Source organism: Homo sapiens, chromosome 14 (assembly GCF_000001405.40).
Source record: "Homo sapiens chromosome 14, GRCh38.p14 Primary Assembly".
Lineage (NCBI taxonomy): Eukaryota > Metazoa > Chordata > Mammalia > Primates > Hominidae > Homo > Homo sapiens.
The window spans coordinates 59733231-59747613 of record NC_000014.9 but is presented as its reverse complement, the minus strand read 5'-3'; the positions used below and the strand labels follow the sequence as shown (position 1 = coordinate 59747613).

The window sequence follows — 14383 nt, the reverse complement described above, 5'->3', positions numbered from 1 at the left end:
TTTTTTTGAGATGGAGTTTTGCTCTTGTTGCCCAGGCTGGAGTGCAATGGCGCAATCTCAGCTTACCGCAACCTCCTCCTGGGTTCAAGCAATTCTCCTGCATCAGCCTCCTGAGTAGCTGGGATTACAGGCATGCGCCAACACGCCTGGCTAATTTTGTATTTTTAGTAGAGACGGAGTTTCTCCATGTTGTCAGGCTGGTCTACGAACTCCCGACCTCAGGAGATCCGCCTGCCTCGGCCTCCCAAAGTGCTGGAATTACAGGCGTGAGCCACTGCACCTGGCCTATGCCCACTATTAATGAATATAAAAAATGGCTGGTGTATTAGTAGAATTAGAGCCTGGTGAAAATATTCTATAGACTCAAACTTGGAAACCTGTCTTACCCTTAGCACCACCAGTGGAATGAAGGAATTGCCAGTGGGTGACTTTGAATATCACTGGATGGCAATGAATGGGCAGTAGAGGAGTAAAAGAGGAGGAAAACAAAACAAGAGGGAAAACTGATGAAATAAACAGGGAAGCACACCATTAGGGTGATATGACATTGGAATGAGGCCCAAAGCTAGGAGGTCCTTTCTCTGCGGACCTTGAAAAAGAGACTGGATGGATCAGTAGTCCATGAATGAAAGGACTGGACAGGTGGGTTCTTTGAGGCTCCTCCCAGCCATTGAATTTCCAAGAGCAGCTCCTGTACCCAGTCAGCTATCCTATTGTTGCAGTTACAATCCTGAGGTAGCCTAATTTCCACCTCTACTTAAAGAGCTGTTAATACTTTAGATACAAAGAGGGTTTCTTTTTAATAATACTAAGATCAAGTCACTGTGTGTTGAGGTGGTAGACGTTGAAAATAAATTTCCTAGTCTTATAGGATCTGTCCCCAACTTATCTGGTCCTGGCAGTTTATGTGAGCCTCTGGGGTCTGTTACTGGAAAAATACCACAAGTATGGACTATCGGGGAGATTAGGAAATTTAACATGCTGGTGCTCTGAGGGAGCTCCGAGGGAACTCCGAGGGCTTAAGGAGAAAGGATGTCATGTCTTCACCAGGCAGGGGTGGGTGGTGGGTTAGACAAGAGAGAGAGCTGACGCCAAGCACCCACTCACTGTCTGCTGCTGCTTTGATTCATAGGTGTGGCAGGTGTTTCCAGTGCCATGGACCACACCTTCTCAACAACATCAAAAGATGGGGAAGGATCGTGTTACACATCTCTCATTTCTGACATCTGCTATCCACCTCAGGAGGATTCTACATATTTTACTGGAATTCTTCAGAAGGAAAATGGCCACGTCACCATTTCAGAGAGCCCTGAGGAGCTGGGTACACCCGGCCCCTCCTTACCAGATGTGCCTGGGATAGAGTCTCGTGGCTTATTTAGTTCTGATTCTGGAATAGAGATGACTCCTGCAGAGTCCACGGAAGTGAACAAGATCTTAGCAGACCCTCTGGACCAGATGAAAGCAGAGGCCTATAAATACATTGACATAACCAGACCCGAGGAGGTGAAGCACCAAGAACAACATCACCCCGAGCTGGAAGATAAAGACTTGGACTTTAAGAATAAAGACACTGACATCTCAATTAAACCTGAAGGAGTCCGTGAACCTGACAAACCAGCTCCTGTGGAGGGAAAAATCATCAAGGACCATTTATTGGAAGAATCCACATTTGCTCCATACATAGATGATCTCTCTGAAGAACAGCGCAGGGCTCCTCAGATCACCACCCCTGTCAAAATCACACTGACGGAAATAGAACCTTCTGTTGAAACCACTACCCAAGAGAAGACCCCTGAGAAGCAAGATATATGTCTAAAGCCAAGTCCTGACACAGTCCCCACTGTCACTGTCTCGGAGCCTGAAGACGACAGCCCAGGATCTATCACCCCTCCATCTTCTGGAACAGGTAAAGGCCCTGTTATTGCTTGACTTAGGAAAACCCAGCATATGGAAATCTCAATCCCTAAAACAAATATTAAGGAATGACAATTTTCATTCAACATACTTTACTATCTGGACCCCTTAAATTTCATTTAGTTTAACTAATTTAATTAATATTCAAAGTTTTCAATTTGTTGCTGATTGTACAAAGGTTGCAATCTGGGATTTCTCTTAAAGTCCTATCAGGTTTTCTTTGTAAAATTTTTTTTTTCTTTATTTGAGGGGAGATGTTAGAATGACATACTGGAAACATTAAAATCCTCATGCAGCCCTACTGTCCAGAGCAGAGAATTCAGTACTGCCTGCTTCTCAGTTAGCTTTCGGCTAGGATCTGGGTTGTCTTAGTCTGTTTTGTGTTGCTTATAACAGAATACCTGACACAGGGTAATGTATAAGAAACAAAATTTATTTCTTAACAGTTCTGAAAGCTGGGAAGTCCCAGGTCAAAGGGGCGCATCTGGTAAAAGCTTTCTGGCTTGCTAGTGGGGACTCTCTGAAGGGTCCCAAGTGGGTACAGGGTATAATATGGTGAGGGGGCTGAACATGCTAACATGCTATGCTCAAGTCTCTCTTATTCTTCATATAAAGCCACAAGTCACATTTCCATGATAATCCATTAATCCGTTAACTCTTTAATCCATTAATCCATGAGTGGGATAATCCACTCATGAAGGCAGAGCCTTCATCGTTCAATATTTCGTAGTCCATAGCCTCTCAAAGGCTCCACCTCTCAATACTGCCACATTGGGTATTAAGATTAAACATGAGTTTTGGAAGGGACATTCAAACTATAGCACAGGTCTCTTGGAGACATTATGAGGAGAGCACACTGGCTGTTCTCTGTAGACTGCCTGAAGCACCTTGGCCGGGGCATTTAACATTCCTGTCCCTAGCTCTAAGTCTGTACACTTAAAGGGAAGGAAAAGGTGGACTTCTGGATCTTTTAGGGATGGCACAGACAGGAAGAGGAAACCTAAGCAAAGCAAACTCCTCCCTTCCCCTTTCAATCTCAACACTGTCATTTTATATCTCTAGTTTATTGAAGTTCTGCATATAATTTTATTTTTGAAACCAAAAGATGTACTTCATTAAAATTTTTAAAGTTTAGACTTCATTAGGCTATGGTCTTTTTTAACTTGAACATTCTCTTTCTGTGACTGAAGGCAGGATACTAAACAGCACTCATGCGTATTCTGTCAAACACAAAGGGAGCCTCTTATATCCCTGGCTAAAGGCCAGAGAGGCAGCAGGAAACTCCTCACCCCACCCTGTGCCACTCTCTTCTCTCCAGCCTTTGCATCTCCACCTCTCTCAAATGTCCATGAGGCATCGAGATGAAGAGGACAGTGAGAGGTCCTCAAACCTTCCCCTGCCCCTGGTGACTGGCATTCTACCATATCCCAAAGAGCTTTGGTATGCACCTCAGGTGAAAGAGCTTCTAGTAAACTCTGAAAATGGAAGCAAAGCCTGTAGAGGAGGAGCGATTGCTCTAAACCCTGATGGTATAGTACAAATCCAAGTGTTGGAATAGAACAGAATTAATGAAAGTTCCTCCTATCTTCTTTCCCTATAGATTTTAGCATTAATTCCTTCTCCCCAAAGTTCCTTCAGACTCATTCAACCATAGAACTCCAAGGGTCTTAAAGATTCACTGCGCCAGGTCCCTGATTTTCAAATTTACTCATTCACGCAACAAACACTTTCTACATACTTTCTTTTGGTTGGGTACTCTATGAGGCACGACTGATGGGGAATTAACGAAAAATAAAAAACAAACAAAAACCAGTCCCTGCCTCCAGGGGACCAGACGACCAAGGAAGCAGTCCCAATCCAGTGTGCTTGGTGTCCTGAGAAAGGGAATTGTACGGTGCTGACGAGCCCTGGAGTCCAGCAGCTCCCCAGGTGAACTGGGACCACAGGTGACTCTCAGAGGAACAGGGGAAACAAAGAGGTGAAGGGAAGGGTGCCCTTCCAGTCTGAGGAGCTGCATGGACATGGAGTTGTGAGGGCCCAGTGAACTTCACTTAAGATGTAAATTGAGATTTGGGTAGTAATGACAAATCAGAAAACCAAGGCTCCAGGTGGATTAGATACGTCTTGCCCCTGCCTAAAACATGAGGTCAGAACATATCCGAGTTTCCAAGCTTCCTTGTACTCTTTCTGGCAATGCATAGTAAAACTCTTTTATTATTTCCTGCCGTAAAGATACTTGGTGTTCTGAAGATGTAAGTTAATATAGTCAAGCTGTGTTTTACAGAGCTCCCGGGTTGTCCAGTAGTCAGTCCACAAGAACTTCAGCCAGTCCTCAGGAATAGTGAAATGCCCTAGCAAGTATAGGTCTACTTACACGGCACATGCTTCATGTAAAAATTACAGTTTGCAAAGACTTGACAAAGGGTCCATTAATTTTTAGGGAATTTCCATTTTTAAGTAGCCATGGCCCAATTGGGTTCTGGAGAAGGTTCAAGAGAAAACAAAGGCAGATCTGGCTCACATGATATTGGAGTTTTACGATGTTGGGTTGCCCACTTGACAGTATGGGGTTAGGACAATGATTGTCTCTGCAGCTGCAATCAAATAAACATTCTAAGCAAGGCATATTCAGGAAAGAGAAAATGGCCCATTACACATTCTCTCCTATGTTCAGCTCCTCTCTCCATATACATCCCACATCAAAATACCAGAGTCATATGACAACAGATAAGAATGAAATTAACAGGAAGAATCAGCTTCTCATTGAAGCCTTTCTCCCTGCCCTTTTTATCCTGCGAGGTTTCTGACCCCCTTCCCATCTTCTTATGACCCCTGGCACCATGTGACACTGTGCCCATAGACAGTAGAGGATATGGACTTTATTACATCTGTTGAGTCTTGGGTCACTCTGCCATTTCCAGTGACAACAGATTGAAAACAAAAATTGAGAACTGCACATAATTCTACATAGAAACTGAGGAAAAAGAAAGCATGTTAAGCAAAAAAGGGTCCAGTTTATCATTGTTTAATAAATAAGGAAATCATCAAATCTGGAGAATAACTGAAGAGAAATTCTAATTTGGGTTAGCTTTAGCCACAGATGCTGATGTTTAAGCAAGGTGTCTAATATATTTATATTTCTCCCAATTCCAATAGATTATTCCATTTTGTAACGTTCTCCAACATACTTACCTATTTTTACTACATAATATACACTGAGGTGGAGAGGTGAGAATTGTTATAGCTGAAATACTGGAAGTCTCTTTTAAGCCAAGATCAGTCATGAAAAAAGTGAAGCAATTTAGGAAAACATAATAAATGCCCTGATGCCCCAGACATTGACCAGGAGCACCATGTTGTTTCTGACACAAACACCAAGAGGGATATTATGATGGTCCTGGGTGTTATGTGAGCTATTAGCCTCAAAAAGGACAATAATCAGGAAGTCATCCTTAAAACACCCCAGTTTCCCTCAAGAAGAAATGAGCAATTAAAAGTAAATCAACTTAAATTTGAAAACTACCATTGCTATTTCCTTGCATTGATGGGATCTATGATTCTCCTACCCATTTTTAAAATTCATTCTTTTGTTCAAAAAATATTTAGAGTGACTTCTATACATCAGACATGCACTGGCCACTGAGACCTTGTAGTAAATAAGATGTACAAGGTCCCTGCCCTTGCACAGCTTACCTGCTAGTCAGAGGAAACAGGCAATAAAAAACAAACCCATAAATAAACAGTGTAATTTTATAGTGTGAGCACTAGAAAGAGTGATAGAGGGTTGGGTGTGAGGGGTCCAAGGACTGCCCCTCTGAGGAGATGACACATGAACTGAAATCTGAATGAGCAGAAGGAGCCCACAGTTCAGAGAGAAGCTAGGAGGGACCTCAGGTGTGGGGGAATAGCAAATGCACAGGGCCTGAGTCTGTATTATATGAGAACTGAAAGGGGGTTGGTGACACAGGGGAGGAAGAGGGAAGTGGGGCAGAGAACACCATTGGACAGATAGGCAGGGCCGAGATCGTGGGGAAGGAGTTTGGATTTTGTTCCAAATGTAATTGGAAGCCATTGGAGGGTTTTAAGCTGAAAAGTAACATCATTTATTCTTTCATCTATTTATTTAACAAATATGTGTTGACCATTTACTCCACATCAGGCATTGTTCCATTACTGCCAGGACTCACGAGTGAGTGATGCCTCACAAGAAAATCCTGGCTTCATGGAGCTTACAATCTAGTTGAGAAGACATACACACAAATAACCAAATATATAATATAATATCAGGTAGTTATAATGGTTATGAAGAAAAATACAGCAAGGCAAAGTGTAAGAGAGTGGTGGCGGTGGGGGTGAGGAGAGGCTTCTTCGAGGTAACAGCTTGAGCAGAGACTGAATGGAGTGAGGGAGCAAGTCATGTAGCTATCTGAGGAAGTGAGGCCAGGCTGAGGGGCCTCCCAGTGCAAAGGCCCTGAGCTGGGAATGCCTTGTCTGTTCCAGGAGCAGCTGGAAGGCCGGCTTGGCTGGAGGAGGGGGAAGGAAGGGAAGTGTGGCAGGATCAGACTTGGGTTTTCAATTGATCCTTCCGGATGCTGCATGGAGAATGAGCCAGGAACAAAGGGAGTCCTAATAGCAGCGTCATTCACAGTTGGACACTGGTGTCTGCAACTTACTAAAATAGCCCATGTTCACCTTTCCTTTTATTCCTCTCAATTATATCATCATAATTATCATCAGCAGCAAACACATCACCCTGGGGTGCCTTTCTTATCTCTCAATTTTCCTATTTTATCTGATGATTTTAGGTGACTCTTTCTAGCTTTGCAGTGTCAGTCTTGATACGTAATAACCAATATCTTAGAGGGCCTTTGAAATTGTTGAAATTTTAAGCAAAGATATGGAAACTTCTGTTTTGTTCTAAAATTTTCCCTGATTACTCCTAGCATTTTGTTAAAGTTTTAGTTTCCCTTAAGAACATAGGGCAGTATCTATAGGAGCTACGAGTCCCTTTTGACTCATGGTAAGGGTGAATTATTTTTAAGGTAGCACCTTCACTTGCTCAAGATGGAACTCCTCAGACCCTTTTCTCCCCGACCCTGCAGCTGTCTGGAATCATCCTTACTCTTGAGTAAATAAAGCAAGACCCTGGGCCTTCTTTTTCTGAATGCACTAGCATAGTAGTTTTCAACTGGAGGTAGAATTGCCAGATAAAACACAAATATTTCTTAGGGCATACCTATACTAAAAAAAAATTCATTGTTTAGCTGAGAGTCAAATGTAACTGAGTGTCCTGTATTTTTATTTCCTAAATCTGCCAACCCTAACTGGAGGTGACTGTTAGAATCACACATGGAGTTACATCCAGACCTACTTCTACTAAGGCAGAATTTCTGAGGGCAGTTTTGAGCTACACACTTGAATAAGAGCCACTGTTGTAAAAATTTGAGCTGGCTCTCATATGAGTGCTATTTATTGCGTACCTCCGGTGTGCCAGGCACTGTGCTGGGTGCAAGGATATGATAATGAACAAACACGACTTGGCTGTACTTTGCTCCCAAGGCACTTTCAGTCTGGGGTCAGGGAGAGTGGGAAAGGGTGAAAGGGCAAAGATTAATTAAATCATCACACAGCAAATACAAGGCTGCCTAGGGGCTCCCAGTTGTGCAGAATGAGTGGGCACCAGCCTGTCTCCAGAACAACGCAGCATCAGGCCAGCTGGCACAAGGGTGAGCTGCTCTGCCATGTGGCCTCCCAGGAATATTGTGCAAGCAGGAGTTTCCTCAGTCCTAGCAGTTTGGGTGGTTAGACAGAGGCTTCTGCATGTGAAACCGGAAGGATGTGTGCCTCAGAAGGGAAGAACCATCCAAGGTAAGAATTTTCTTCCCTGTCCCATCAAACAAGCTCATTGTTCCCCTGTTCATTTTATTCACTCAGGCTCACCATTTCTGAGTAGCTTTTGAAACCCCTCTTTTTCTCACTCACCACATGAATCAGACCCCAAGTCAATGATTTCTCTCTTTTCTATTTTTCTCCTCTTTCTATCCTATGGCCACCACAACTCACACCCTACCTCCAGTTGTCATAATTCAACAATTGCCCTGTCCTGTTAATGGGTTATACTCCTTCTACTTCCCTCCCTCCCATTTTTTTTTTTTTTTTGAGACAGAGTCTCGCTCTGTTGCCCAGGCTGGAGTGCAGTGGCATGATCTCGGCTCACTGCAACCTCAGCCTCCCGGGTTCAAGCGATTCCCATGCCTCAGCCTCCTGAGTAGCTGGGATTACATGTGCCCGCCACCATGCCTGGCTGATTTTTGTATTTTTAGTAGAGACGGGGTTTCGCCATGCTGGCCAGGCTGGTCTCCCCGAACTCCTGGCCTCCCCGAACTCCTGGCCTCAGGTGATCTGCCCGCCTCGGCATCCCAAAGTGCTGGTATTACAGGCATGAGCCACTGCACCTGGCCTTCCCTCCCTTTTAAGCTCATCCTAACCCTTCCAGGATCCACTAATGCCTGCCTAATAAAAGACTGACTTTTTTTTTTTCTTTTAAGCTCAGGGGTACATGTGCAGGATGTGCAGGTTTTTATATAGGTAAACATGTGCCATGGTGTTTTGCTGCATGGATCATTCCATCACATAGGAGTTAAGCCCAGCACCCATTAGCTCTTCTTTCTGATGCTCTCCTTCCTCCCCCTTCACCGTCTGACAGGCCCCAGTGTGTGTTGCTCCCCCTCAATATGTCCATGTGTTCTTATCATTCAGTTCCCACTTATAAGTGAGAACGTGTGGTATTTGGTTTTCTGTTCCTGCATTAGTTTGCTAAGGATAATGGCCTCCAGCTCCATCCATGTCCCTGTGAAGAATATGATCCTGTTCCTTTTTATGGATGCATAGTATTCCATGGTGTATGTACCACATTTTCTTTATCCAGTCTATCATTGATGAGCATTTGGGTTGGCTCCATGTCTTCGCTATTGTAAATAGTGCTGCAATAAACATACATGTGCCTGTATCTTTATGATAGGATGATTCCTATTCCTTTGGGTATATACCCAGTAATGGGATTGCTGGGTCAAATTGTATTTCTGCCTCTAGGTCTTTGAGGAATTGCCACACTGTTTTCCACAATGGTTGAACTAATTTACACTTCCACTAACAATGTAAAAGCATTCCTTTTTCTCCACAACCTTGCCAGCATTTGTTGTTTTTTGACTTTTTGGTAATAGCCATTCTGATTTTGTAAGATTGTACCTCATTATAGTTTTGATTTATATTTATCTAATTATAAGTGCTGTTGAGCTTTTATTCATGTTTGTTGTCTGCATGTATATCTTCTTTTGAGAAGTGTCTTTTCATGTCCTTTGCCCAATTTTTAATGAGGTTGTTTATTTTTTTTCTTGTAAATTGTTTAAGTTCTTTGTAGATGCTGGATATTAGACCTTTGTCAGATGCATAGATTGCAAATATTTTCTCCCATTCTGTTCTGTTCACTCTGATGATAGTTTCTTTTGCTGTGCAGAAGCTTTTAGTTAATTAGATCCCATTTGTCAGTTTGAGCTTTTGTTGCAATTGCTGTTGGTGTCTTTGTAATGAAATCTTTGCCCATGCCTATGTCCTGAATGGTATTGCCTAGATTTTCTTCTAGGGTTTTTATAGTTTTGGGTTTTACATTTAAGTCTTTAATCCATCTTTAGTTGATTTTTGTACATGTGTAAGGAAGGGGTCCAGTTTCCATTTTCTGTATATTGCTAGCCAGTTATCCCAGCACCATTTATTACATAGGGAATTCTTTCCCCATTGCTTGTTTTTGTAAGGTTAGTCAAAGATCAGATGGTTGTAGGTATGTGGTCTTATTACTGGTTTCTTTATGCTGGTCCATTGGTCTATGTGTCTGTTCTTGTACCAGTACCATACTGTTCTGGTTACTGTAGCCTTGTAGTGTAGTTTGAAGTCAAGTAGCATAATGCCTCCAGCTTTGTTCTTTGTCTTAGGATTGTCTTGGCTATTCTGGCTCTCTTTTGGTTCCAAATGAATTTTAAAATAGTTTTTTCTAATTCTGTGAGGAATGTCAATGGTAGTTTAATGGGAATAATGTTGAATCTATAAGTTGTTTTGGGGAGTATGGCCATTTTCATGATATTGATTCTTCATATCCATGAGCATGGAATGTTTTTCCATTTCTTTGTGTCATCTCTGATTTCTTTGGGCAGTTGTTTGTAGTTCCCCTTGAAGAGGTCCTTCACATCCCTTGTTAGCTGTATTCCTAGGTATTTTATTTTTGTGGCAATTGTGAGTGGGAATTCATTCATGATTTGGCTCTCTGCTTGCCTGTTGTTGCTGTATAGGAATGCTAGCAATTTTCACACATTGATTTTATATCCTGAGACTTTGCTGAAGTTGCTTATCAGCTTAAGAAGCTATTGGACTGAGAAAATGGGATTTTCTAGATATAGGATCATGTCATCTGCAAACAAAGATAGTTAGATTTCCTCGCTTCCTATCTGAAAACAATTTATTTCTTTCTCTTGCCTGATTGCCCTGGCCAGAACTTCCAATACTGTGTTGAATAGGAGTGGTGAGAGAGGGCATCCTTGTCTTGTGCTGCTTTTTAATAGGAATGCTTCCAGCTTTTGCCTATTTAGTATGATATTGGCAGTGGGTTTGTCATATATGGCTCATATTATTTTGAGGTATGTTCCTTCAAAACCCAGTTTATTGACAGTTTTTAATATGAAGGAATGTTGAATTTTATTGAAGACCTTTTCTGCATCTATTGAGATAATCATGTGGTTTTGTCTTTAGATCTGCTTATGTGATTAATCACATGTTTTGATTTGCATATGTTGAACCAAAGTTGTAAACCTACTTGATTGTGGTGGATAAACTTTTTGATGTGCTGCTGGATTCAGTTTGCCAGTATTTTATTGAGGATTATTGCATCAGTGTTCATCAACAATATTGGCCTGAAGTTTTATTTTTTTGTTGTATCTTTTCCAGGTTTTGGTATCAGGATGATGCTGGCCTCATAGAATGAGTTAGGGAGGAGTCCCTCCTTTTCAATTTTTCTGGAATAGTTTCAATAGAAATGGTACCAGCTCTTCTTTATACCTCTGGTAGAATTCAGCTGTAAATGTCCCTGGTCCTGGGCTTTTGTTTGGTTGGTAGGCTATTTATTGTTGTCTCAATTTCAGAACTTGTTATTGGTCTATTTAGGGATTCAGTTTCTTCCTGGTTGAGTCTTTGCAGGGTGTATGTCTCCAGGAATTTATCCATTTCTTCTAGATTTTCTAGTTTATATGCATAGAGGTGTTTATAGTATTCTCTGATCATTGTTTGTATTTCTGTGGGGTCAGTGGTGATATCTCCCTTATCATTTCTGATTGTGTTTATTTGATTCTTCTCTTTTCTTCTGTATTAGTCTAGCTAATGGTTGATTTTTAAAATTATTTTTTAAAAAAACAGCTCCTAGATTTGTTTATTTTTAAAGGGTTTTTCATGTCTCTGTCTCCTTCAGTTCATCTTTGTTCTTGTCTTCTGCTAGCTTTGGGGTTTGTTTGCTCTTGGTTCTCTAGTTCTTTTAGTTGTGATGTTAGGTTGTTAACTTAAGATCTTTCTAGCTTTTTAATGTGGGCATTTAATGCTATAAATTTCCCTCTTAACACTGCTTTAGCTACATCCTAGAGATTTTGGTATGTTGTCTCTTTGCTCTCATTAGTTTCAAAGAACTGCTTGATTTCTGCCTTAATTTTATTATTTACCCAAGAGATTCAGGAGCATGCTGTTTAGTTTCCCTGTAGTTGTGTGGTTTTGAGTGAATTTCTTAATCTTGAGTTCTAATTTGATTGTGCTGTGGTCTGAGAGACTGTTTGTTATTATTTCATGTCTAATATTGTCAGTGGAGTGTTAAAGTCTCCCACTGTTATTGTGTGGGAGTCTAAATCTCATTGAAGGTCTCTAAGAACTTGCTTTATGAATCTGGGTGCCCACGTGTTGTGTGCATATGTATTTAGGATAGTTAGCTCTTCTTGTTGAATTGAATCCTTTACCATTATGTAATGTCCTTCTTTATCTTTTTTGATATTTGTTGGTTTAAAATCTGCTTTGTCAGAAACCAGGAGTGCAACCTCTGCTTTATTCTGTTTTCCATTTGCTTGGTAAATTTTCCTGCATCCCTTTATTTTGAGCCTATATATGTCTTTGCATGTGAGATGGGTCTCTTGAAGACAGCATACTAATGGGTCTTGGTTCTTTATTCAGCCTGCCACTTTGTGTCTTTTAATTGGGGCATTTAGCCCATTTACACTTAAGGTTAGTATTGTTATGTGTGGGTTTGATTCTGTCATCACGACGCTAGCTGGTCATTTTTCTGACTTGTTTATGTGGTTGCTTCATAGTGTCACTGGTCTGTATACTTCAATGTGTTTTTGTAGTGGCTGGTAATGGTTTTTCCTTTCCATATTCAGTGTTTCCTTCAGGAACTCTGGCAAGGCAGGCCTGGTGATAACTAATTCCCTCAGCATTCGCTTGTCTGAAATGGATCTTATTTCTCCTTCACTTATTAAGCTTAGTTTGGCTGGATATGAAATTCTGGGTTGGAAATTCTTTTCTTTAGAAGTGTTGAATATTGGCCCCCAGTCTCTTCTAGCTTATAGGGTTTCTGCTGAGAGGTCCACTGTTAGTCTGATGGGCTTCCCTTTATAGATGTCCTGGTCTTTCTCTGTGGCTGCCCTTAACATTTTTTCTTTCATTTTGACCCTGAAGAATTTGATGATTATGTGTCTTGGGGATGATCTTTTCATTGATTATCTTGCTGGGGTTCTCTGCATTTCTTGAATTTGAGTGTTGGCCTGTCTTACTAGGTTGGGGAAGTTTTCCTGGGTAATATTCTGAAGTATGTTTTCCAACTTGGTTCTATTCTCCCCATCTCTTTCAGGTACCCTAATTAGCTGTAGATTCAGTCTCTTTACATAATTCTATATTTCTCAGAGGTTTTGTTCATTCTTTTTCATTCTTTTGTCTCTATTCTTGTCTGCCTGTCTTATTTCAGAAAGATACTCTTCAAGGTCTGAGATTCTTTTCTCTGCTTGGTCTATTTTGCTATTAATACTCATGATTGCATTGTGAAGTTTTTGTAGTGTGTTTTTCAGCTCTAGCTGGTTGGTTATGTTCCAGTCTAAACTGGCTATTTTGTCTGTCACCTCCTGTATTGTTTTATCATGATTATTTGCCTCTTTGTCAATGGTTACCACATGCTCCTTTAGTTCAGTAAAATTGTTTATTACCCACCTTCTGAAGCCTACTTCTGTCATTTCAGCGGTCCCAGCCTCAGCCCAGTTCTGAGCCCTTGCTGGGAAGGTTCGCAGTCATTTGAAGGAAAAGGGACACTCTAGCTTTTTGAGTTTTCAGAGTTTTTGCATTGGTTCTTTCTCATTTTTGTGGGCTTATCTACCTTTGATCTTTGAGGTTGCTGACTTTTGGATGGGGTTTTTATGGGTTTGTTATTGTTTTTGTTGTTGTTTTTTGTTTGTTCTTCTTTTAACAATTTGTCCACTCTGCTGTAGGGCTGCTGCAGTTTTTTGGGGGTCCACTCCAGACCTTAGTTGCCTTGGTTTTTCCCATACCTGGAGGCATCAGCAGTGAAAGTTGGGAAACAGTAAAGATGGCAGCCTGCCTCTTCCTCTGGAAGCTCCATCCCAGGGGAGTGCTGACCTTTTGCCAGCCCAAATGTGCCTGTAGGTGGTGGCTGGAGACCCTGGTTGGGAGGTCTCACCCAGTCAGGAGGAAGGGGATCAAGGACACACTTAAAGAAGCAGTCTGGCTGCTTTTTGGTAGGGCAGCTGTGCTGTGTTGGAGATCCCTTCAGCCCCCAATTGGTTTGGGCTTTCCAAGCCCCACAGGCTAGACCAGCTGAGAAGCCTGAATGGCCAAAGTGGCAGCCTGTCCTGTCCCTCAGGCATTTCACCCAGGGAGAACATGAGCAGGGGTGGCCAGAGGCCCCAGCTGGGAGGACCCCCCTGCAAGGAGGAGTGGATTGGGGTCCCACTTAAAGAAGCAGTCTGGCCATGCCTCAACAAAATAGCTGTGTTGTGGTGAGGAACCACCTCTGCTCCTGTCAGCTTGGACTCTCCAAAGTCCCCAGGCTAGAATGCCAGCCCAGGAGGGAGCCCTCCCCTCCTCTGAGCACTCCATCCCAGGGAGTGATCAGAGCTCTGTCCCTAATATGTGCCAGCAGATGTGGCTGGAGGGGCCAGCTGGGAGGCCTCGCCTAGTGCGGAAGAATGGATGGGAGCCCTGCTTAAAGAAGCAGTCTGGCCGGGCACGGTGGCTCATGCCTGTAATCCCAGCATTTGGGAGGCCAAAGTGGGTGGATCACTTGAGGTCAGGACTTCCAAGACCAGCATGGCCAACATGGTGAAACACTGTATGTACTAAAAATACAAAAATTAGCCAGGTGTGGTAAGGGCACCCCTGT

The 14383-nt window shown here is 42.3% G+C and overlaps 1 protein-coding gene across 4 annotated transcripts in view; it reads left to right on the top strand.

The window, feature by feature from the left end:
* Positions 1-14383, top strand: part of RTN1 (reticulon 1) — a 274801-nt gene that overhangs the window by 123163 nt on the left and 137255 nt on the right. For all 4 annotated transcript variants that reach the window (XR_007064042.1, NM_021136.3, XM_047431674.1 and 1 more), the window contains exon 2: positions 1133-1906. Coding sequence is in view for 3 of the 4 variants with exons in the window: in NM_021136.3 (NP_066959.1) it covers positions 1133-1906 (774 nt within the window). In the remaining variant the exon portion in view is untranslated. The remainder of the gene's footprint in view (positions 1-1132; positions 1907-14383) is intronic.